The following is a 22,926-nucleotide window of genomic DNA, read 5'->3' as shown; positions in this document are numbered from 1 at the left end:
TGTTTAGGTCAAGGATGGCAAGAAGCATGCACCATGTGCTCTTTATTGTGGCTCTTGAGGCTTTAAAAATCCTTCACTAATTTGAAGGTCTTGGGTGGACAGCTAGAAACAGTTGGCAAGGCTGGGTCAGTCTCTTTTATCTTAGGTTAAGACCCATTACAATTTAGGCTCAACCTCACAGGAGTGGGCACCATAGTTACCACAGGTGATTCAAGGTTCCCAAGTGATCGTCCTGAATCTCGTTAACATTCGCAGGTAGTCTGACATTCTCTCTTTTATGCCTACAATGTCTGTATGCCTCTGTCACAGTCCATTTATGTACACATCTTTATCCCTTGCAAAACTCTGAATTTTTCAAGGGCAAGAACAGTGTTCCTAGCACTTAGTACCTTGCCTTGGGGTAGGATCACTCAATATATATTTGATGAATGAATGATTAATACCTTGATATTTTTATACCTTTAGCAAATTTAAAGCAATTGACTTTTTTTAGAAAGATAAAAAATAGAAATGTCAGAGTTGACTAATACAAAAATTTCCCTTTCTTCACTACAAATTACTTTTTAAAATAGTTTTATGCTAACCACTTTATTGAAATATAATTTACATATTATGACATACTTAAATCTTAAGTATACAGTTGGATGAATTTGGATGAGTGGAACCATCACCCATAGCACAATAAAGAACATTTTAATCACCTCATCCAGTTCCTTCATCCCTGCTTGCTTTCCCTCCTCTCCAGAGGCAACTACTTTTTGAATTTCTTTTTTTTTTTTTTTTTTTTAGATGACCCGTTAATTTTACTTCATCCCAACAATGACCTTGCAGAATCTGCGTCCCTGACGCAAAGCAGGAAGCAAATATTTGGGCAAGAAAATAAAGTCAGTTACAGATTTCACAAGTATCTTGTACACCAGTCTGTAATTTTTAATTAGAATTAGCTAAAAGACGTTGTACCTTTCGCGTGTATGACTGAGCATAACAGTGCTTAACAGTGGCTTTATTAAGTGAATGCCTGAAAGTATTCAACATTAAATTCAATTTATTTCACATTAATGTTTGCAAATACATCATCAATTCTTACATATTTCAAATCAACTTCAAGTACAGAAGGCTTCCTCTCAAATAAGTCTCCTGAGGTGACATAAAGACTGAAAGAAGCCTATGACTTGAGTCCAAGTCTCTAACCAACAATCACCATATCGTCACTGGTGAACTCATACGTGGGGACTTCAAGGTTGAGAGTAGCAGGACCCAATCTGATCCTGCCAGATGCATCATAGTGTGACCCATGGCAAGGGCAGTAATAACCACCAAAATCTCCTGCATTTGCAATGGGTACACAACCAAGATGAGTGCAAACACCTATCAGGATAACCCATTCAGGTTTCTTTACTCGATCTAGATCATGCTGTGGGTCCCTCAACTGTGATAATTCAACTGCAGCTTCCTGCTTAATTTCCTTCTGGGTTCTATGACGTACAAACAGGGGTTTGCCTCTCCATTTGAAAGCCATGTTCTTGCCTTCTGGAATATCGGATAACTTGATTTCGATTTTCGCCAGGGCCAACACATCAGCAGAAGCACTCATGCTGGAAACGAACTGGGTGACGGCATTCTTGGCAGCATATGCGACACCCACAGTAGTTACTCCAGTTACCAAATAGGAGAAACCTTTCCTAGCCTCGGTGCTTTCTCTTGAAGACTTCGTACTATCTAAAACTTCAAGGCGGCGGTATTCAGAGAAGTCAGGCACCTTGACGTCTGTGTGGGAATAACAAACAGAAGCAGGGACATTGAGGCCCACGGAGGCGACCAAAGGCCGGCGCACGGCCTGGCCGCTCAGCGACTCCCGGCTGAGGAAGGGCCGCTTCAGGTCCAACACAGGCTGCTCCGGGGTGGCGGGCACCGTGGCCTGCACCAAGGGCCGCAGCGCGCCCGCCACCCCGCGGGACGTGGCCGACAGGACGGGCGCGAACGGGCCCGAGCGGGCTGCGACCGACCGAATTTCTTTAACTGTATAGATTTGTTGCATTTGTTCTTAAAATTTATATAAATGGAAGCATACCGTATGTGTTCTTCAGTTTCTGGCTTCTCTCAACATAATGTTTCTGAGAGTCATCCATATTGTTATGTATATCAGAATATCATTTGTTTTTATTGCTGAGTTGTATTCAATTGTATGTGCATACCACAGTTTATCCATCTTTTGCTGATGGATAATATTTGGGATGCTTATAGCTTTGAGTTATTGTGAATAAAACTCTTATGAACATTCCTGTGCGATATGCATTCGGTTCTCTTTGGTATATCCTGAAGAGTGAAATTTCTGGGTTGTAGAAACCATTAAATATGACTAGAAACTAAAGTTTTCTTAAGTGATTTCACTACCAATATATGAGAATTTGTTGTTCACATCCTTATCAACACTTAGGAATGTTATTATTTTCAATTTAGCCATTTTGTTGGGAGTATAATGTTGTTTCAATTTGGTTTTAATTTGCATTTCCCTGAAAAGTTGTTAAGTGCCTTTTCATATGATTTTTGCCCACAAGGACATCTTTTGCCTGTTCAAGTATTGCCTGCTCAAATATTTTGCCTATTTTTAACATTTTATCTTTTTATTATTGATTTCTAGGAATTTTTACATATTTTGGATATGAGTTCTTTGTCAGATAGACATATTATAGATATTTTCTGCCATCCTACAAGCTACAAAAATTCTGTAGCTTGTCTTTTCCATTTCTAATGTTGTCTTATGATGAGTAGAAGTTTGTCATTTTGGATGTGAGGGCAATCTGGCTGGCTAGGCAGGAGTCCTTTTCCTTCCTCACCGCTGTATGTGTGTCTCTCCTAAAGTTGGATTCTTGGTCAAAGAGGATGACCTTTGCTGATAGAAGAGGATTTTTCTTTGGTCAAGGGTATAGGAGTAGCTGCACTCCCTTTTTAGGACCTCCAAACAAGCTCTCAAGATCTATTTGTAGGAGAACATGGGGTAAAAATAGTTTTAAGTTGGTAATTTTCATGAAGTTCAATCTGTTTTTCTTTTATGGTGATATAGTTTAGCTGTGTCCCCACCCATATCTCATCGTGAATTCCATGTCTTGTGGGAGGGACTCTGTGGGAGGAATTGAATCATGGGGGCAGGTCTTTTGTGTGCTGTTCTCATGATAGTGAATAAGTCTCATAAGATCTGGTGGTTTTATAAGGGGGAGTTTCCCTGCACAAGCTCTCTTTCTTTGCCTGCCACCATCCACATAAGATGTGACTTGCTCTTCCTTGCCTTCTGCCATGATTGTGAGGCCTCCCTAGCCATGTGGAACTGTAAGTCCATTAAACCTCTTTCTTTTGTAAATTGCCGAGTCTTTGATATGTCTTTATCAGCAGTGTGAAAGTGGACTAATACATATGGTTAATGCCTTTTTTACCTTGTCAGAGAAACTTGCCTATCCCAAGGAATATGTTCTATGTTTTCTTCCAGATATTTATAGTTTTAACTAGGTCTGTGATCCATCTAGAATTAGCTTTTGTGTATATTGTGAGATAGAGTTCATTCTTATCTGTATGGTATCCAATTGCTTGAGAAGTATTAGATTTTAATAATAGAGTATTTCCATATGCATGATCTTGTTTGATCTCCTTAAAGCATCTTATGAAAAATGAAGAGCAGGTATTTTCTCTCTTACAGAGACTTGGAGGCAAAGCTCAGAGATATTAAGTTATTTAGGTAAGGTTACATATCCAATTTATGGCTGAACACAATTAGAACTCATCTAAATAATATATCCTGATATTTAGTCATATGCTATTAGTATACTAAACAGCCTCTCCTAGTTGAGTCTTAAAAATATCCAAATGGGGTTTCACTGAAATACTAGTGTGAACTTAATTAAAATTATCTGAAAAATATCTAATCAAATATGAAAGTTTTAAAATATCATCAAATTATTTACACAAATTACAGTATTCTTTTAAAACCAATTCAGATTCTAGGAATTGTATGGATTATAGATTTGTGTGTTTTTTTAATTCTCAATTAGCTAAGTCATGAAACTGCAATTAATTTTATTTAAATAAACTATTTCATATACACATACACACATACATTTCAATTAAAGGTATAATTTTAAAAACAGGGCCACATTTTAAAGAGACAGATTTCAATGTTGTTATTAAAAGTTATGTTAGGCTGAGTGTGGTGGCTCACTCCTGTAATCCCAGCACTGTGGGAGGATTTCCTGAGGTCAGGAGTTCAAGACCAGCCTGGGCAACATAGTGAGACCCTGTCTCTACATTAAAAAAAAAGAAAAAGAAAGAAAAGAAAATTAGCTAGGCATGGCTGATGGGGGGCTGAGGTGGAAAGATAGCTTGAGCCCAAGAGTTTGAGGTTGCAGTGAGCTATGATTGTGCCACTGCACTCTACCCTGTCTCTAAAAAAAAAAAAAAAAGTGATTTTACTAGAAGTAGCATTCATTGGTGATATTCTTGCCATTGTAGCTTTTCATTTTCATTTTCAGTCACCTAATTTAGGAATGAGGTGCTTCACATTTATACTAATGACCGATTTCTGTATTAGTATAATACTCCCCATTGTATCCTCTCCCATTGTATCCTCCAACACTCAGGGATGTGCTCATACCAGTTGCCTACCTATTTGCTCACCAGATTTTGAATATCTTAGACTAAGAACTAAGCCTTTAAGCTATAGATGAGATATAAATTAAAATATGAAAGGCAAATACTGTGGAAGACATAATACATTTATTTATATTTACACTAGGTTTTGTTGGGCAGTGGGGGGAGGTTGTTTTTTGAGTTTAGATTCTCATAGAAAGAGAGAAAACATCAAGTATTTGGCCCTTGAAAAAGGTTTAGACAAAGCGGGAACCCTAGGAATAGAAGGAAAAAGCAATGTCTGAGGTCTTCCTTTTCAAGGCAATTATAATGAATTGAATAAAGCCAAGATATCTGGAAAAAATACATTCAAGAAAAATAAAATAGGAAATATTTTTTAAATTGCTCTAGATGTTGATTAGCCATGTCAAGGCTATAAAGCCAAATAACTAAAATTTGGGGGCATTAATACACTCACAGAAGGGATGGATTTGGGGTATATGAGGCAGTTCCTAGTAGTATGATACAGGGGCCAAGCATTATAGGAAACATTCTAGCTTAAAAGTGGATCAGATTTAATTTTCAGACTAGTGTCAGACATCGAGAGTCAGAATTCTCTAATCGGTGAACCCACCTAATATATGATGGTGGATTAGATTAATAAATTAGTGCAATTTCAATGCACTCATGGTTGGTGGGTTAATTAACACAGGCTTCTGAGTTCATTTATAGCTTAAGTGAGCAAATGTAATTTCCTGTAACAAATATTTTTGATGAACAAATAGTTTCCTTTAACAAACATATGTTACAGGCTTTAGGTCATCATAAGCCTTGTTGTTAGAAGTTGTATCATTGTGAATTTAAACCAAAAACTTTTATTTAAAATAGTTGAATATTTAGCCTTGTGTTCCTTTTCAACAAATGTAATCCTGTTGGTAATCATGATAGCAAGAAGCAAAGCATGAATTCTTTTAAGCTTAAATGTGACTTTTACCCAGCTGGCTAGTCTTCCCACGGAGCTCTTTATTTATTGTACTCAGATGGACGACAAAGCACAGTAAACAAAAAAGGGAAAGCAACCAGTTTAGCCCTTTCAGTGCTGTGTCAACAGAACTATTCTCTCTTAAGGTTCTCATCAAATGAAATCACTGGTAAGTATATGCTAAGGTCAGTCAAAGAAATTAAAGCCAACCTCCACTTTCTAGTTTATTAGCTTTATGACTTCAGGAAAGTTACTTCATCACCCTAAACCTTACTTTTCTCTTTGGTAAAATGGACTTAACTCTGAGGATGGTTGTGAGGATTAGAGATATGTCTGAGAGTTAGTCACATAGTAAGTTACCTGTCGATATTAGTTACTACTATCAGCTCTTGATAGATTTTAACTTTTATTATTTTCATTTCCTAGAACAGATATTCATGTTCAAATAAAGCTCCATTCAGATACTCACTAGGAAGGTCCGTATTTATTTATTTATTTATTTATTTATTTATTTATTTATTTATTTATTTTAGAAGATGGGCTCTCACTCCATTGCCCCGGTTGGAGTGTAATGGTGTGATCACAGCTCACTGCAGCTTCCAACTCCTGGGCTCAAGTTGTCTCCTGAGTAGTGGGGACTACAAGTGTTTGCCACCATGACTAGCTAATTTTCTTTCTTTCTTTCTTTTTAATGTAGAGAAGGGATCTCTGTATGTTGCCCAGGCTGGTCTCAAACTCCTGGCCTCAAGTGATCCTCCCACCTCGGCCTCCCAAAATGTTAGAATTACAGATATGAGCCAGTAGAAAAGGAGGTCTTTTCTACTGTTCTGTAAAGTGGTCACCCTCTACTTGTCCCTAGCACCTTGTCCACGTATACATTGTAGCCCTGTCACACTGCCATAATTATTGATTCACACATTGGCCTCCCTTACTAGGTTTGGAGGGCTGAGGATACTTTATTTGTATCTCAGTTTCTTCTCTTTCTGTGGTGGAAGTGGGAAATCAGCATTTGCTGACAATGGCTGATGGGCCGACTGAATGGCAAGTATGCTATTATAAACCCAAAGAAGGAATTTGTAGGTTTAATATTTTCTCTTTATCCTAAATATTCTTCTATTTTTCTGAAGTGTTTCTGGTATAGATTTATTTTTATTTATCTTACTTCGTCTTTGGAGATCATTTTTGACATGAAAATTTATGTCTTTTCTGTAAAATTCTCAACTCTTGTCTCTGAATATTGCTTTTTTTCTATTACCTTAATTTTCTTTTGAAACTTCCTCTAGACGAATATTAGGGCCTATAATCTGTTCTTTATGACTTTTAATTAATCTTTTTAATCTTGTTGCCTCTCTGTGCTGTATTTTGGGAGAATTCCTTAGTACTGTTCTCCTGTTGGCTGGACACGGTGGCTCATACCTGTAATCCCATCACTTTGGGAGGTCAAGGCAGGTGGATCACTTGAGGCCAGGAGTTGAAGACCAGCCTGGCCGACATGGCAAAGATATTAAACATACAAAAATTAGCCAGGCCTGGTGGTGTCTGCCTGTAATCCCAGCCACTCGGGAGGCTGAGGCATGAGAATTGCTTGAACCCAGGAGGCGGAGTTTGCAGTGAGCTGAGATTGTGCCACTACACTCCAGCCTAGGTGGCAGGTTGAGACATTGAGACTGTCTCAAAAATAAATAAATAAATAAATAAATAAATAAATAAATAAATAAAGTACTGTTCTCCAATTACCAAATCTATCTTCAGCTGTTCTAGTCTGGTTTTTACCTTGGATGTTGAATTTTTTTAAAAAAATCTCAATGACTGTAGTTTTCATTTCTAGGATTTTAATTGATTTTTTTCATATCCATCTGTTCCTGTTTCATATCTGCCTTTGTTTTGTTTTATACTTTTATATTCCTTGTTGTCAATATGAGTCATGTATTAATCTCTTTATTTAAAAATCTTTGTTAGAGGGTTTTCAAATCATAGAATATAGATTCCATAGAAGATCCTATAGAAACATTGATTTCATTTGGTGTGGATTTATATTGTGATTGCTGGTTTTTTTTTTTTTTTTACAATTTTAACTTTTATTTTAGATTCAAGGGGTACATGTGCAGGTTTGTTACCTGGATACACTGTGTGATGCTGAGGTTTGGGGTATGATTGATCCCATCACCCGTGTACTAATCATAGTACTCAATAGTGCATTTTTCAGCCCTTGCCTCCCTTCTCTCCTCCCACTTCCAGTAGTCCTGTTTCTGGTGTTGCCATCTTTATGTCTATGGGTACCCAATGTTTAGCTCCCATTCTCCCATTTATAAGTGAGAACATCCAGTATTTGGTTTTCTGTTCCTGCATGAATTTGCTTAGGATAATGGCCTCCAGCTGCACCCATGTTGCTGCAAAGGACATGATTTCATTCTTTTTTATGGCTGCATAGTATTTCGTGGTATATGTACCACACTCTCTTCATTCAATCCACCATTGATGGGCACCTAGATTGATTCCACGTCTTTGCTATTGTGAACAGTGCTGCAGTGAACATACAAGTGCATGTGTATTTTTGGCAGAATTATGTATTTCCTTTTGGATATATACCTAGTAATGGGATTGCTGGGTTGAATCCAGTTCTCAGTTATTTGAGAAATCTCCAGACTGTTTTCTACCATGGTTGAACGAATTTACATTCCCACCAGTAGTATACAAGTGTCCCCTTTTCTCCACAGCCTTACCAGCATCTGTTGTTTTTTGGCTTTTTGATAATAGCCATTCTGACTGGTGTGAGATGGTATCTCATTGTGGTTTTGCTTTGCATTTCTCTGATGGTTAGTGATGTGGAGCATTTTTTCTGTGTGTTTTTTGGCCAATTGTATGTCTTTTGAGAAGTATCTGTGCATGTTTTGCCCATTTTTTAGTTGGGTTATTTGTTTTTTGCTTGTTTAATTGTTTAAGTTCCTTATAGATTCTGAATATCAGACCTTTGTCAGATGCATAGTTTATGAATATTTTCTCCCATTCTATAGGCTGTCTCTTTACACTGATAGTTTCTTTTGTTGTGCAGAAGCTCGTTAGCTGAATTAGGTGCCACTGGTCAATTTTTGGGTTTTATTGCAGTTGCTTTTGAGGACTTACTCATAAATTATTTCCCAAGTTCAATGTCCAGCGTGGTGTTTTCTAGCTTTTCTTCTGGGATTCTTATAGTTTGAGGTCTTACATAGATTGCTGATTTCATTGGCTGACTTTCTTAGCGTTAGATTTTAAAAATGTGTATTTTAGAATTTTAGTGTTTAGGCTATTTTGAGTGGGAGATTTTTTCCCACAACCACTCATGTTCATTTCCTTCCTTTTTTTTTTTTTTTTTAATAAAATAAAGGTTTCTCCAGTTCCCTCTACCCAGGTCTTCTAGACTCCCTCCTGTACAGGCCTTATAAAGTTGGCTTGGGGCACATGCCCTGTGATAATACTAGAATGTCCTAGACCCAGGGGCTGAGCAAGCAGGTGGCTTCATTTAGTTCCAAGTATTAAGACTGCATGTGTATCCTCCTGCTTTTAGATCCACAGCCACAAATAAGTTGTATCCCGGGAAGCAGTTGATGGCTATTTTTTTTTTTTCTTCTCCTTTTCTTCCCAGGCTTCTCTCACAAACACTGCCCCCATAACATTAAAGAGTGAGACCAGCTGTGGTTTCCTAACACCTGAGGAGCTGAACTCTGGGCTGGCAGATCAAGAGCCCAGCAGCCCTTGGCTTCAGCCTCGCTCACTGCTTTTTCATTTCTGTTATATTTCTGCTTCGTGGGGGTTTTTATCTTGTTTTTGAGACTGGCAGTGTCTATTATTGCTGTGTATTTGGAATAGAACAGGGGGATACTTTGAAGCATGAACTTACTGTGTCAACTTGACTGGAGGGATTTTTTTTTTGAGACGGAGTTGTGCTCTCATCGCCCAGGCTGGAGTGCAATGGCGCGATCTCGGCTCACTGCAACCAACTGAAGGTTTTCTATCCTGGAAACTTGATCAGATATTTTAGATACTTCTCCCCTCCCTTTCTACCCCCACCGCGTTACCTGAAGGCATTGTGGAGGGTAGATTGGAAGGGAGACTAAAGCTAAGTAAGTAATTTAGGACACCACAGGCAACAAATGATCAAGGTCTGAATCAAGATGAAGAGGAGAGAATGGATTTGGAAGATAATTAGTGGGTATAGTCAATAGACGTGGATAACTGAATTTGGGAGGTATATGTTCATATTTCTAACTTAGAGTAGAGATAAAAGTCACCGAGAAAGGAATATGGGAAGAAGAGTAGATTTTGGTAGGGCAGTAGGTCAGGAATAGAGACAGGAGTATTAAGATTTTTACGATTGTTTGAAGCCTAGCACGTGTTTTAGTATAAAGATCTTCTGATACATATTTTTCCTAGTGGTGCATCTCAATGCCAAAGATCTTTGAATTTACCATATTTGCAATCTCTTTACACGATGGTCAGCTGTAAATGTATATAGATTTCTCGGGCCGGGCGCGGTGGCTCACGCCTGTAATCCCAGCACTTTGGGAGGCTGAGGTGGGTGGATCGTGAGGTCAGGAGATCAAGACCATCCTGGCTAACACGGTGAAACCCCGTCTCTACTAAAAATGCAAAAAAATTAGCCGGGCCTGGTGGCGGGCGCCTGTAGTCCCAGCTACTCCGGAGGCTGAGGCAGGAGAATCGCTTGAACCCAGGAGGCAGAGCTGGCGGTGGGCCGAGATCGTGCCACTGCATTCCAGCCTGGGCAACAGAGCGAGACTCCGTCTCAAAAAAAAAAAAGTATGTAGATTTCTCCTCAGCATTTGGAAAACTTTTCCTCAGCATATTCATTCATTTCATAAACTTTTCTTAAGTGTCTCTTAAACAAGCATAGTCTGGACTTCGTGGATGTCACAGTTAATTGGAGGGAAAAGACAGTTACCAAATGGGCAATGACTAACTGTGGAAGTGCTGTGAAGGACAAGGGTAAGGTACTGTGACAGTGTTTGAAAGCAGGGCCTGGCCAAGTCAGAGGCCCATGTCTGCATAGGGCACAGCGGGAGAGGGTGTTCACTGTCCGTGGAAGGCTTTCCTGAAGAAATTGGAGCTGTTCCCTGTCTGGCGCACTCTGCCCTAATGTCTGTGCAGAGCTGGCTGCTTCTTACTATTCAAGACTCAGCCATGTTACCTCTTCTGCAAGACTTTCCGTGACCACACCCAAAATTAAAGTCTGGCACATCACCCTTCTTTATTTCCTTTAGAGCATTTATCTGAAATTATCTTGTTTATGATTATTGGCTGTTTCAACCAACTACAATGTAAGTGTCACAAGTGCAGGGACCTTGTCTTTTTCTGACTTGCACCCCCATTGCTTAGAATACTTCCTGAAACATAAGTATTCCAGAAATTATTAATGGACTGCATAAATGAATGTCCTTGGGCCTTGATCTCTTGCATAGTTGCTCTACTAATTTGATTTCCTTGTCCTTTTTTTGTTTGTTTGGGAGGACTCCTCAAGTTGGCTGTCTACTTGTTCATTTTTCTGTCACCTGGACCCTACCCTCACGCCCCCGTTGTGCTCTAACTGAGGTTGCCAATCGTGGCATCACACCCTATGGCCATGGTGATGGGCATGTGACTGTTTCAAGCTGGGTCACTTGGAGTCCTTCTCCTGATACTCCAAATTTGAAGAGGGAGACTTCTCAGGTGGCAGTGTGAATCTAGAGCTGTTGGTGGCCATAACCATCCAGATAAAAGAAGCCAACTTGCAAGAAGAGAAAATGCAAGCATTTCCTAGAGAAGCAGAGATGGCAGGGGAGAGATGTCCTGGTAGTTTTCCAGTCTTGGCTTCCTTTGTACCTGAGGCTCAGTTGCAACCCCTGGTTTTCCCTAGCTTTTGCATTACCCAGTTCAAATGGAGTTTCTGTCACTTAGAGCCAAAAGATTCCCAATTAAAACTGTATATAGCTTTATTTTCACTTTAACCTGCACCTCATCTAACAACCTTTTTATCTTGATGTGTTTTATGTAATATCCTTGGGTATTGATCTGTTGGACTAGTTTAATTTCTGATTTCAGAGAATCCATGTTTTCTACTTCCAACTCCATTTCTTAATTTTGCTGCCTAAGTTTTCTACTTCCAGTACTATTCTTTGTTGGTATGCTGTCCTCCCTTTCTTTTCAGAAACATATTGTTTAGTAGTAAGAAGGTGCTAATTATTACTGTTGTTGTTATTTAACTCATCCTTGAAGCAGGTTTATTACGTTCTTCTTAGATTTTCTCACTTTCAACTTTGATGCTTTTGAACAGCCAGGCTAGTATCTAGTATCTCTAGTACCTTCTCTAGGATGATAGCAAGCTAGGGTAGTGGGCAGAAGCTCACTTCTGGGTGATTTATTCCCTATGTTTGGTGAACTGCTGTGGCCTGATCTTCCTGGTGCTGCTGAGTCCTACCTCAGGGAGGGGCTCTGATGATCTGGGGAGAAGTCCTCCACTATTGCAACTGGCTCTTTGCTTGGTGTAATTGCTTGTCTCTTAGAACTATTGCAGCTGTCCTCAAATCCCACCAATCCACACAGACTCCAAGGAGAATATTTCATATCTATTCTATAATTTCTAGTTCTAACTTAATGAGAGCAGTGTTACAAGAAATTATTTCAGGCCAAGCAACTGTCTTAGGCAGCTAAGTTGTAAATTGACTTAGTATTTTTCATCAATCTGGTTCCAGTTACACTATGTCAAGAAGAAAATTAGCAGCTTTTTGGTAATTTATTCCTTTATGATTAATTCACTCGGTAAATTTTTTGTTTTGTTTTTGAAACTGAGTCTCACGCTGTCACCCAGGCTGGAGTGCTGTGGCCCAATCTCAGCTCACTGCAACCTCTGCCTCCTGGGTTCAAGCGATTATCATCCCTCAGCCACCTGAGTAGTTGGGATTACAGGTGTGCACCACCGTGCCCAGCTAACTTTTGTGTTTGTAGTAGAGACAGGGTTTCACCATGTTGCCCAGGCTGGTCTCAAACTCCTGGCCTCAAGTGATCTATCCACCTTGGTCACTCAGTAAATATTTACTGAGCATCTACTGTGTGCCAGTCACTCTTGCAGACACTGAAGATATCAGTGTCTAAAATGAGACTTCTCTGCCCCTCATGGAGCTTATATTTTTGGTGAGGAAACAAACAATAAATAAGTAAACCAATAAATATATAATATTAGGTAATGATAAATGCGAATGTGAAAAATAAAGCAGGATAAAGGAATAGAGAGTGATGAGGGTGGGGCTATTTTAGAAAGGGTAGGCAGAAGGGAGATTCTCTGAGGAGGTGACACTTGAGACCTGAATGAATCAGGGATAGAGCCACACAAAGAGTTCCTGGCAGAAGCAACAGCCAAAACATGGCTCTAAGTAGATGAAGAGCTTGGTGGGATTGCAGAATAAAGCACCAGGGTAGCTAGAGTAGAAGGAATGAGGGGGAAGGTGGAAGGAGATGAGTTCCTGATGTTAAAAATGGGAAAACATGTTCTTTGTGCCTCCAAAACCAATCTTTGTCCATTTTTCAGGGGAAAGATAAGTGTCTGACATATTGTTCCCAAAGGCTAAAATTCACAGCCGACTTCTGTTTATCACACGACACTGAATGGTTACCCAAAACATTGTGGAAATTCGGGTTATGGAATGCAAACTGATCATAGGAAGCTAAGAGTGTTTAGAATGATATGATTTGAAGCAGTTATAAAGTAGATTTGGAAGGAAGAAATAACTAAGAAGTGAGATTAGATAAAATAATCTTGGAAAAGATGGCAACTTGAGCAAAGGTTGCTGACACTGTCCACACCAGTCCTTAATGAAGTGACCCGCAGTGAGAGAACATCGTTGGCCACTGTCATCTAAATATACCCCAAATTTGACCATTTCTCATCACTTCCACTGCTAGTAAATTATAGTTAGAAAACATTAATACTTTAATTCATCACACCTAGAGCCCAAAATGAACATACAAGTGGATCATTAGGGACTTTTCAGTTTATTTTTGAAAGGTGGCTTGGGAAGCCATGTTTGTGAGTTCATCCCAAGATGGAGAAAGGTAAGTGATTTCCTTTATCGTTTTTCTAGGAAGAAGGTTGAAAAAATAGTAATACCTTATATTCGAGTGAGTTATAGGTTACAGTGTACCTTTGTATCTGGGAATTCAACCATACAGATACTGCTTGTGCTGCTTTTCAGATAGAAGACTCAGGCCCAGATAGACCACCTGACTGACTGAAAGTCACACAGATGGTTAAGGACAGAGCTATCACTCTCACTAGAATTCTTGTCTTTGACTGTGCTCTGTCACTCTGTTAAAAAGCAGCAAATTGTTTTGATAGGATGTTACGTCAGAGAAAAGCCAATTGCTCTCCCTTTTCTTGTCCCACCCCAACTGTACCCCTGTAAGGTAACAGATGTTAACAATATTCTGAGTATGCCATCTGTTTGCCTGCCTGCCTGCCTTCCTATATTCTTGCCTGTCTGTCTATCTGTCTTAGTCTGCTTGTGCTGCTATAACAGAGTATCACAGACTGGGTAATTTAGAAAGAAGAGAAATTTATTTTCTCATGGTTCTGGAGGCTGGAGAGTCCAGGTTCAGGGCACTGGCAGGTTCAGTTGTCTAGTGAGGGCTGCTGTCTGCTTCCAAGATGGCGCCTTGATGCTGCATCCTCTGGAAGGGAGGAATGCTGTGTCCTCATGTGACAGAAGGTCCGAAAGGCGATGGTGGAAGGCAAGCAAGAGACAAATGCTGTGGGAAGCCTCTTTTATAAGGACCTTTAGTCTGTTCACAAAGGAGGTGACCTCATGGCATAATCACCTCTTAAAGGCTCCACCTCTTAATGCTATCACATTGGCAGTACTTGAATTTTGGAGGGGATACATTCAAACCACAGTTGTATGTATTTCTTTATCTGCTTCTCTCTTCCGTGTACATATATGGTGATTTCTTTTCCTCTATATGTTACAGCTTCAAATCCTATTGTGTATGTTACTCTAAATCTTTAACCATGTGTCCTGGTCATACATCTAGGTCAGTATATCTAGATCTAATTCATACCCCTTCTTTGTATGCCTATATTGTTTGATTATTGCAAAGTATTATTGCTTTTTCTTTCTTTTTTTTTTTTTTTTTGAGACAGAGTCTCGCTCTCTTGCCAAGCTGGAGTGCAGTGGTGCAATCTCAGCTCACTGCAACCTCTACCTCTTGAGTTCAAGTGATTCCCCTGTCTCAGCTTCCTGAGTAGCTGGGACTACAGGCACATGCCACCATGCCCAGCTAGTTTTTTGTATTTTAGTAGAGACAAGGTTTCACCATATTGGCCAGGATGGTCTTGATTTCCTGACCTCGTGATCTGCCCACTTCAGCCTCCCAAAGTGCTGAGATTACAGCCATGAGCCACCGCACCCAGCCATATATTGCTTTTAAAAGGAAAATCCAATAATGTATTTAAAGTGAAAAATGTAATGCCAGTATATAATTTTATCATATATTAATGACTTATTTACCTTTTAAAGTATAAGAAAAGGAATATACTTATCAGTAGTTCTTTATTTGCTGCAGGTTTTTTCACTGCTGAGATTTTTATTTTTAAAAAAATTTCTGTAGAAAAAAAATTAATTATAGCCTTAACTAGTATTTCCTTTTCTAAGCAGAGTCAATGTATTTTTCAGGTTATTATATCCGGGAAAAATCTAAGCAAGTCATCACATTGCTGATGGATGAACCATTGCTGTGTAAAGAGAGGGAAGTGGCATGTCGGACTAGACAGCGTACCTCCCACTCTATATTGTTTTCTAAAAGACAACTTGGTTCAAGTAACTCACTGACAGCGTGCACTTCTGCCCCCACACCGGATATTTCTGCTTCAGAGAAGAAGTATAAGCTTCCTAAGTTTGGAAGGTTACATAATAAAAGTACGTATAATGAACATTGGCCTAAAATGCAACAGGTATCATTAAAAATGATTTAAAAATATAAAATATTATGTTTTAGTACTAAATTATTAATATTATTTAGTATTACTATTACCATATTAGGCTTCATACTATAGAAAACAACAACGAAGAATATTCAATAGAAGATTTTATGACCTTTTTAAAGTTTATTTGTTTGCTTTATTTATTTATTTATTTATTTTTGAGACGGAATCTTGCTCTGTCTCCTAGGCTGGAGTGTAGTGGCACTATCTCAGCTCACTGCAACCTCTGTCTCCTGGGTTCAAGCAATTCTCCTGACTCAGCCTCCTGAGTAGCTGGGATTACAGGCACCCATCACCATGCCCAGCTAATTTTTGTATTTTTAGTAGAGACAGGGTTTCAGCATGTTGCCCAGGCTGGTCTCGAACTCATGACCTCAAGTGATCCTCCTGCCTTGGCCTCCGAAAGTGCTGGGATTATAGGCGTGAGCCACTGTGCCCAGCCCAGTTTTATGACTGTTTTCTGAATGCAGTTATCTTTGATTCAAATAAAATGTTTTTGAGCTTTTAAGGTATTAAACTAGTGACTACCCTATTTGGCATCGTGATTCAATTTTAAGTTTTTTATCCTTAACTGGAAAGTGAAGGAGTACAGTTTTCTAAGACTAGGTGTCTAGTTATGTGCGTATGAGGTCTCTTTGATCCTGTAACATAAATCAAGTAATTGAAATTTTCTAAAGTATGCTTCAGAATCCTAAAAGTGCTCTAAAATTATTCTAGGACAATACCTTTTACCCTTTCCTTTGCTTAAAACTTTAAATATGGACTACTGAACTTTTATAACAGAGGGATTTATTTATAATGTTATAATAGACATGAGTAGAAAAATGCTATCATCTTTTCTACCAAATTTGCTAAAACTTTAAAAAATGTCATTTTGCTCTAACTTCTCCAGTAGAAACCCTGTTGATAAGTTGTGTATGAGAAATGGACAGCTTGAGGAAGCAAAAACATTAGTGAAATGTGACTTAGAGAACTGTCCCTTTGTATTCAGTACAAATAGATAATTCCAACTGTCAGTTAAGTGCAAAAATGTAACAATGTTACTAGTAATACCAACACAAGTTAAGCTTGCTAAAAATCATTCAGGTACTTTTCTGTCTTAATCAAGAGTTTCAAACGTTCACCCAGTGAGACATAGAGTGAACATCCACACTTGGGATTGGAGAGAGACATTATAAGAGGGTAGCCATTGTAATTATAGTAGCAAATACTACCTACCGGCTTCTAAAAGTGGTGGGATCTTTAGGGGATCTGATTCTTTTGAAATAAATCTCCGAAAGAGACAGCCACTCATTCTGAAATTTTCTCATGGGAGCCTTTAAATCAAACTGATGCTAAAAACAGAGTAACAGAGAAGAATAACCAATTATGACTCATCCAGAGTTTCTTCCCCACTTTTGCTTCTTCGATGTTACCTTTCTTACTCTTCCTTCTTCCTTTCTTTTGTCAGTTCTTTCTTCTTTCATTGTAAACACATAATTATTGAATTTATTTAAAATTTGGATATTCAGCAGAAATTTGGAACTATAGGAGTGAGTAAAATAAGTTTTCTTTTATCATGGAACTAACATTCTAGTGGTAGAGACTGGGATGTCTCTGTCACAAGCATAAAATATGTCAGATAATAACAAGTCCTGTAAAGAAAAGGAAAGCAGGGTCAGGGAACAGAGTGACAGGGGTGGGTTTATTTTAGGTCACGTAATGAGAGAGGGCCTTTTGGAGGAAGTGAATCTTCAAACAGACCTGAATGAAGTGAGGGAGCAACCCACATACAGGCATACCTCGATCGATTGCACTTTGCTTAATTACACTTCACAGATAACGTATATTTTACAAATTGAAGGTTTGTGGCAATCCTGTACCCAAGAAGTTTATTGGCACCATTTTTCTGATAGCATGTGCATACTTTGTGTCTGTGTCACATTTTGGTAGTTCTTGCAATATTTTTAACTTTTTCCTTATTATTATATGTGTCATGGTGATCTATGATCAGTGATCTTAGATGTTACTGTTGTAATTGTTTTGGGGTACCACAAACCATGGCTGTAGAAGACCAGTGAACTTACTGATAGATGTCATGTGTGTTCTGACTGCTTCACTGATCCCGATCTCTCTCTCTCTCCTTGGGTCTCCCTAGTCCCTGAGGGTCAACAATATTGAAATTAAGCCAATTAATAACCCTACAATGGCCTCTAAGTGTTCAAGTGTAAGGAAGAGTCGCAGGTTTCTCACTTTAATTCAAAAGCTAGAAATGGTTAAACTTAGTGAGAAAGGCATGTTGAAAGCCGAAACAGGCTGAAAGGTAGGCCTCTTGTGCCAAACAGTTAGCTAAGTTATGAATGTAAAGGAAAAGTTCTGGAAGGAAATTAGAAGTGCTGCTCCAATGAATACGGGAATGATAAGAATGGGAAACAGCTTTATTGCTGTTATAGAGAAAGGTTGCATGGTCTGGATAGAAGATCCAACTAGCCCCATTATCACTTAAGCCAAAGCCTAATCCAGAGCAAGGTTCTAACTGTCTTTAATTCTGCAAAGACTGAGAGAGAAGAGGAAACTGCAGAAGAAAATCTTGAAGCTAGCAGAGGTGGGTTCATGAGGTTCAAGGAAAGCAACTGTCACCATAACACACAAGTACAAAGTGAAGCAGCAAGTACTGATGGAGAAGCTGTAGCAAGTTATCCAGAAGATCTAGCTAAGGTAATTGATGAAGGGGGCTACACTAAATAGATTTTCAATGTGGGTGAAATAGCCTTTTGTTGGAAAAAGATGCCATCTAGGACTCTCATAGCTAGAGAGGAGAAGTCAATGCCTGGCTTCAAAGCTTCAAAGGACAGGCTGACTCTCTTGTTAGGGACTAATGCAACTGGTGACTTTAAGTTGAAGCCAACTGCTCCTTTACCATTCCCAAAATCCTAGTGCCCTTAAGATTTCTTTAAAAATATTACTGCTCATTGACAGTGCACCTGGTCACCCAAGAGCTCTGATGGAGATGTACAAGGAGATTAATATTGTTTTCGTGCCTGCTAAAACACAGTGTTTATTCTTCAGCCCATGGATCAAGGAGTGATTTCAACTTTCAAGTCTTATTACTGAAGAAATACATTTCATAAAGCTATATCTTCCATAGATAGTGATTCCTCTGATGGATCTGAGCAAAGTAAATTAAAAACCTTCTGGAAAAGATTCACCACTCTAGATGCCATTAAGAACATTTGTGATTCATGGGAGGAAGCCAAAATTTCAACATTAACAGGAGTTTGAAAGAAGTGGATTCCAACCCTTATGGATGACTTTGAGGGGTTCAAGACTTCAGTGGAGGAAGGAACTGCAGATGTGGCGGAAATAGCAAGAGAACTAGAATTAGAAGTGGAGCCTGAAGATGTGACTGGATTGCTGCAATCTCATGATCAAACTTGAACAGATGAGGAGATACTTCTTATGGATGAGCAAAGAAAATGGTTTCTTGAGTTGAAATCTACTCCTGTGAAGAAGCTGTGAACATTGTTGCAATGCCAACAAAGAATTCAGAATATTACATAAACTTAGTAAATAAACCAGTGGCAGGATTAGAGAGGATTGACTCCAATTTTGAAAGAAGTTCTACTGTGGGTAAAATGCTATCAAACAGCATCACATGCTACAGATAAATCTTTTGTGAAAGGAAGAGTCAGTTGATGTTGCAGGCTTTATTGTTGTCTTACTTTAAAAAATTGCCACAGCTTTCCCAACCTTCAGCAGCAACCACCCTGATCTATCAGCAGCCCTCAACATGGAGACAAGACCCTCCACCAGCAAAAAGATGAAGACTCGCTGAAGGCTCAGATGATTGTTAGCCTTTTTAAATTAGCAATAAAGTATTATTTAATTATGTATATATATTTTTTAGGCAGCATGGTATTGCATACTTAGTCTACTAAGTAGACTGCAGTCTAATGTAAACATAACTTTTATATGCACTGGGAAACAAAAATGTTTGTGTGAGTGGCTTTATTGGAATATTTGCTTTATTGCAGTAATCTGGAACCCAGCCCACCGCAGTATCTTCAAGGTGTGCCTGTATATCAGGCAGAGGGAACAGCAGGGTAGATGCTCTGAAACTGGAGCAAACTTGGCCTGGTGAATCGTAAGCTTAAGAAATGAATCCCTAAATTGATACAGAAGTAACCCAACTCTGATTTTATGATTCATGCAAGAAATTCTAGTTTATTGTTTTGTAGTCACAGATTGCTTTTTTTTTTTTTTTTTTTTTTTTTTTTGAGACGGAGTTTCACTCTTGCTGTCCAGGCTGGAGAGCAATGGCACCATCTCGGCTCACTGCAACCTCTGCCTCCAGGGTTCAGGCGATTCTCCTGCCTCAGCCTTCCAGAGTAGCTGGGATTACAGGCATACGCCATCACGCCTGGCTAATTTTGTATTTTAAGTAGAGACGGGGTTCCTTCATGTTGGTCAGGGTGGTCTCGAACTCCTGACCTCAGATGATCTGCCTGCCTCAGCCTCCCAAAGTGCTGGGATTACAGTCATGAGCCACTGCGCCCAGCCCCACAGATTGCGTTTTTAAACCTAAAATGATATTCTCCATCTTTATGACATGTCTCATTCACTACACTGAGCTATGAATGACTTGACTATTTTAAAAAAGTGAATCCACTTTCAAATGAAGTTTTGCTACAATTTATTATTTTTTAATACGACAAACACATATTGAGTGTCTCCTCACTATAATGCCAGACATTGTTCTAAGCCTGTTAAGTAAATTGACTGTATTTCTGCTCTATTGGAGGCTATAGCTTGTGATGTACTGTGTGCTTTTTCTTTTCCTTTTCTTTCTTTCTTTTTTTTTTTTTTTTGAGACAGGGTCTTGCTCTGTCACCCCGGCAGGAGCGCAGTGGTGTGATAATGACTCACTGCAGCCTTGAACTACTGGACTCAAGTAATCCTCCTGGCTTAGCCTACCAACTAGCTGGGACTACAGGCACACACCGCCACACCCAGCTGACTTGAAAAAATATTTTTTCGAGACAAGATCTTGCTACCATGTGCTTTTAAGTATGTTTCACAAAAAAGATGTTCTAAAAAAGCTTTAGTCAATGATGGCATCATTATTGTATATCTATAGTAAGAGTACCATTTAAAGCGAACAGTGAATGTTTGGATGTAAAATCTATAGTAAATTTGTTTTAAATCTGTTATTTTTATTTCATTTATCTGCTTTCTATATGAGTACATCCTAGATATACAGATGTCTGTGTTTGTGTTCAAAAAAGAGTAATTGGATTAAGTAAACTTGGCAATACTAACCAATTCCATGTAGGCATTTGAATCTGAAGCTGTATTTTAAAGGAAGAAAGAAAACTGACAGTTTGGAGTTGGGGTGGGAAAAAATAAGAAATTGAGGGGACATTCTTTTTTTTTTTTTTTTTTTTTTGAGATGAAGTTTCACTCTTGTTGCCCAGGCTGGAGTGCAATGGTGCAATCTTGGCTCACCGCAACCTCTGCCTCCCAGGTTCAAGTGGTTCTCCTGCCTCAGCCTCCCCAGTATCTGGGATTACAGGCACATGCCACCATACCCGGCTAATTTTGTATTTTTAGTAGAGACGGGGTTTCTCCATGTTGGTCAGACTAGTCTTGAACTCCCGACCTCAGGTGATCTGCCCGCCTCAGCCTCCCAAAGTGCTGGGATTACAGGCGTTGAGCCACCGCGCCCGGCCACGAGGGGGACATTCTTAATGGGACAGGAGAAGTAGCAAATTAAAACTCAAAGATAGGTAGATTAGTTAGAAGGAGGTGCATCCACAAGTTATGATAGTAGAGGCCACAAAAATGCTAGCAGCTTAAACATACAAATTTATTTCTCTCTTCTGAAATACTCTCTTGTAGGTGTTCTATGACTGATATGGCTCTCTACACTGTTGGCTTCAGGGCTATTTTTGAGTCTCATTGCTCCACCAAACTCAGCGTTTAAGTTCCACTTCATGATCCACTTCCACTTTTTGATTCATTGCTGCTTGAGCTCCAGCCATCACATCTGCCTTCTAGCCAGGAGAAAGGAAGGGAGATTGAAAATATGAATGTCTCTTCCCTTTTTTTTCTTTCTTCTTTTTTTTTTTTTTAACAAGTCACATATTATTGTTTAGTACTTAGTCCCACTGACACTCCTAGCTACAAAGGAGGTTGAGAAATATCATGTGCCCAGATGAAAGTTAAGAGATTCTGTTATTAAGGAAGATGGAGAGAATAAATGCTCGGGACCACAAATCATTTCTACAATAATGGTAAAGAATACAAGCAAGACACAGATTAAGCATGGTAATACAGAGTTGTCTGACTAAATGGAATAAAAATATAAATTTGAATATGTAAAACAGTAGGGGTAGATAGCTGAGAGTACTCAGAGCAATTCATAAATGAGCTAATAAACTCAGTTTGATATGAGTAGCAACTAGGAACCATTGTAGGCCTTGGAGAACAGAAGGAATGTTTAGCTTAGTCACAGAACTGAGCTTCCTTATTACTGAAAACAGCTATTTGTGGAAGATAATTCTTATTGCTTTGTGTAGAAATGAAGGAGATACAAATTGAACGAAGCTTGTAAGAGACAGTTGTTTCAATCCAGGCATCCAGGACCTGCTCCTAGGGTTATAGAAATGAGGAAACAGTAGTGTTTAAAGATAGACTGTAGAGAGGCAATGGGGGTAAGTGGATGATGTACTGGAGAAGAGAGAAATTGAAATTGACTAACATTTGCATTAGAGAAAATGGAGGCAAGTGATGATATCATACAGGTAAATTTTCATTAGAAGGAGTCTAAAGATGTCTCTAAGTTATTTAGTTACAGTGAAATGTAAAATTGAATGCAGGAAATGTGATTTCCAGCCTTTAGGACCTAGAGCTGAAACAGCTGTGCTTCCCTTCTTTATGGTGAATCAGCAAGGGAAAAGAGGCACTTTAAAGAAGGTGTTATATACACATCACCACTTCTACTTCTTTTTTTTTTTCTTTTCTTGGATGTTTTCCCAAGTTTTAATTCTAGTAGATAGCCTGGGTGGTTTTTGTTTCGATGCTTTTGAAGTTTGAAGGAAGAGATGGACTGAAGGATCATTGCTGCTTGATGGCAAGACAGAACAATACAAAAAGGACAATTATAACTCAGCTCTAAGCATCAGGCCATTTTTGTAGAGGCAACAGTTATTACAAAAATGATCTCCAGAGGCACTACTTACAGCCAGACCAGCAAAACTTTACCTGTGTTGGTCATCTGATCTTCCATAAAGAGCTCTTCACTAGCATCATTCTTTGCAACAGAACTTTACCTGTATTAAGGATT

General features: G+C 39.0%; 1 protein-coding gene and 2 pseudogenes across 7 annotated transcripts in view; 2 read left to right on the top strand and 1 right to left on the bottom strand.

Annotated features, from left to right (window-relative positions):
- Positions 1-22,926, top strand: part of ENTHD1 (ENTH domain containing 1) — a 150,717-nt gene that overhangs the window by 16,459 nt on the left and 111,332 nt on the right. For 6 of the 7 annotated variants that reach the window (XM_006724150.4, XM_011529927.3, NM_152512.4 and 3 more), the window contains exon 3: positions 15,295-15,537. The exons of the other annotated variant lie outside the window; for it this stretch is intronic. In XM_006724150.4, the coding sequence (XP_006724213.1) occupies positions 15,295-15,537 (243 nt within the window). The remainder of the gene's footprint in view (positions 1-15,294; positions 15,538-22,926) is intronic. 7 annotated transcript variants of the gene reach the window in all.
- UQCRFS1P1 (ubiquinol-cytochrome c reductase, Rieske iron-sulfur polypeptide 1 pseudogene 1) lies at positions 994-2,006 on the bottom strand (annotated as a pseudogene).
- RN7SKP210 (RN7SK pseudogene 210) lies at positions 2,787-3,047 on the top strand (annotated as a pseudogene).

Source organism: Homo sapiens, chromosome 22 (genome assembly GCF_000001405.40).
Source record: "Homo sapiens chromosome 22, GRCh38.p14 Primary Assembly".
NCBI lineage: Eukaryota > Metazoa > Chordata > Mammalia > Primates > Hominidae > Homo > Homo sapiens.
Note: the sequence above shows the minus strand (reverse complement) of the source record. Positions and strands in the feature narration are given on the sequence as shown.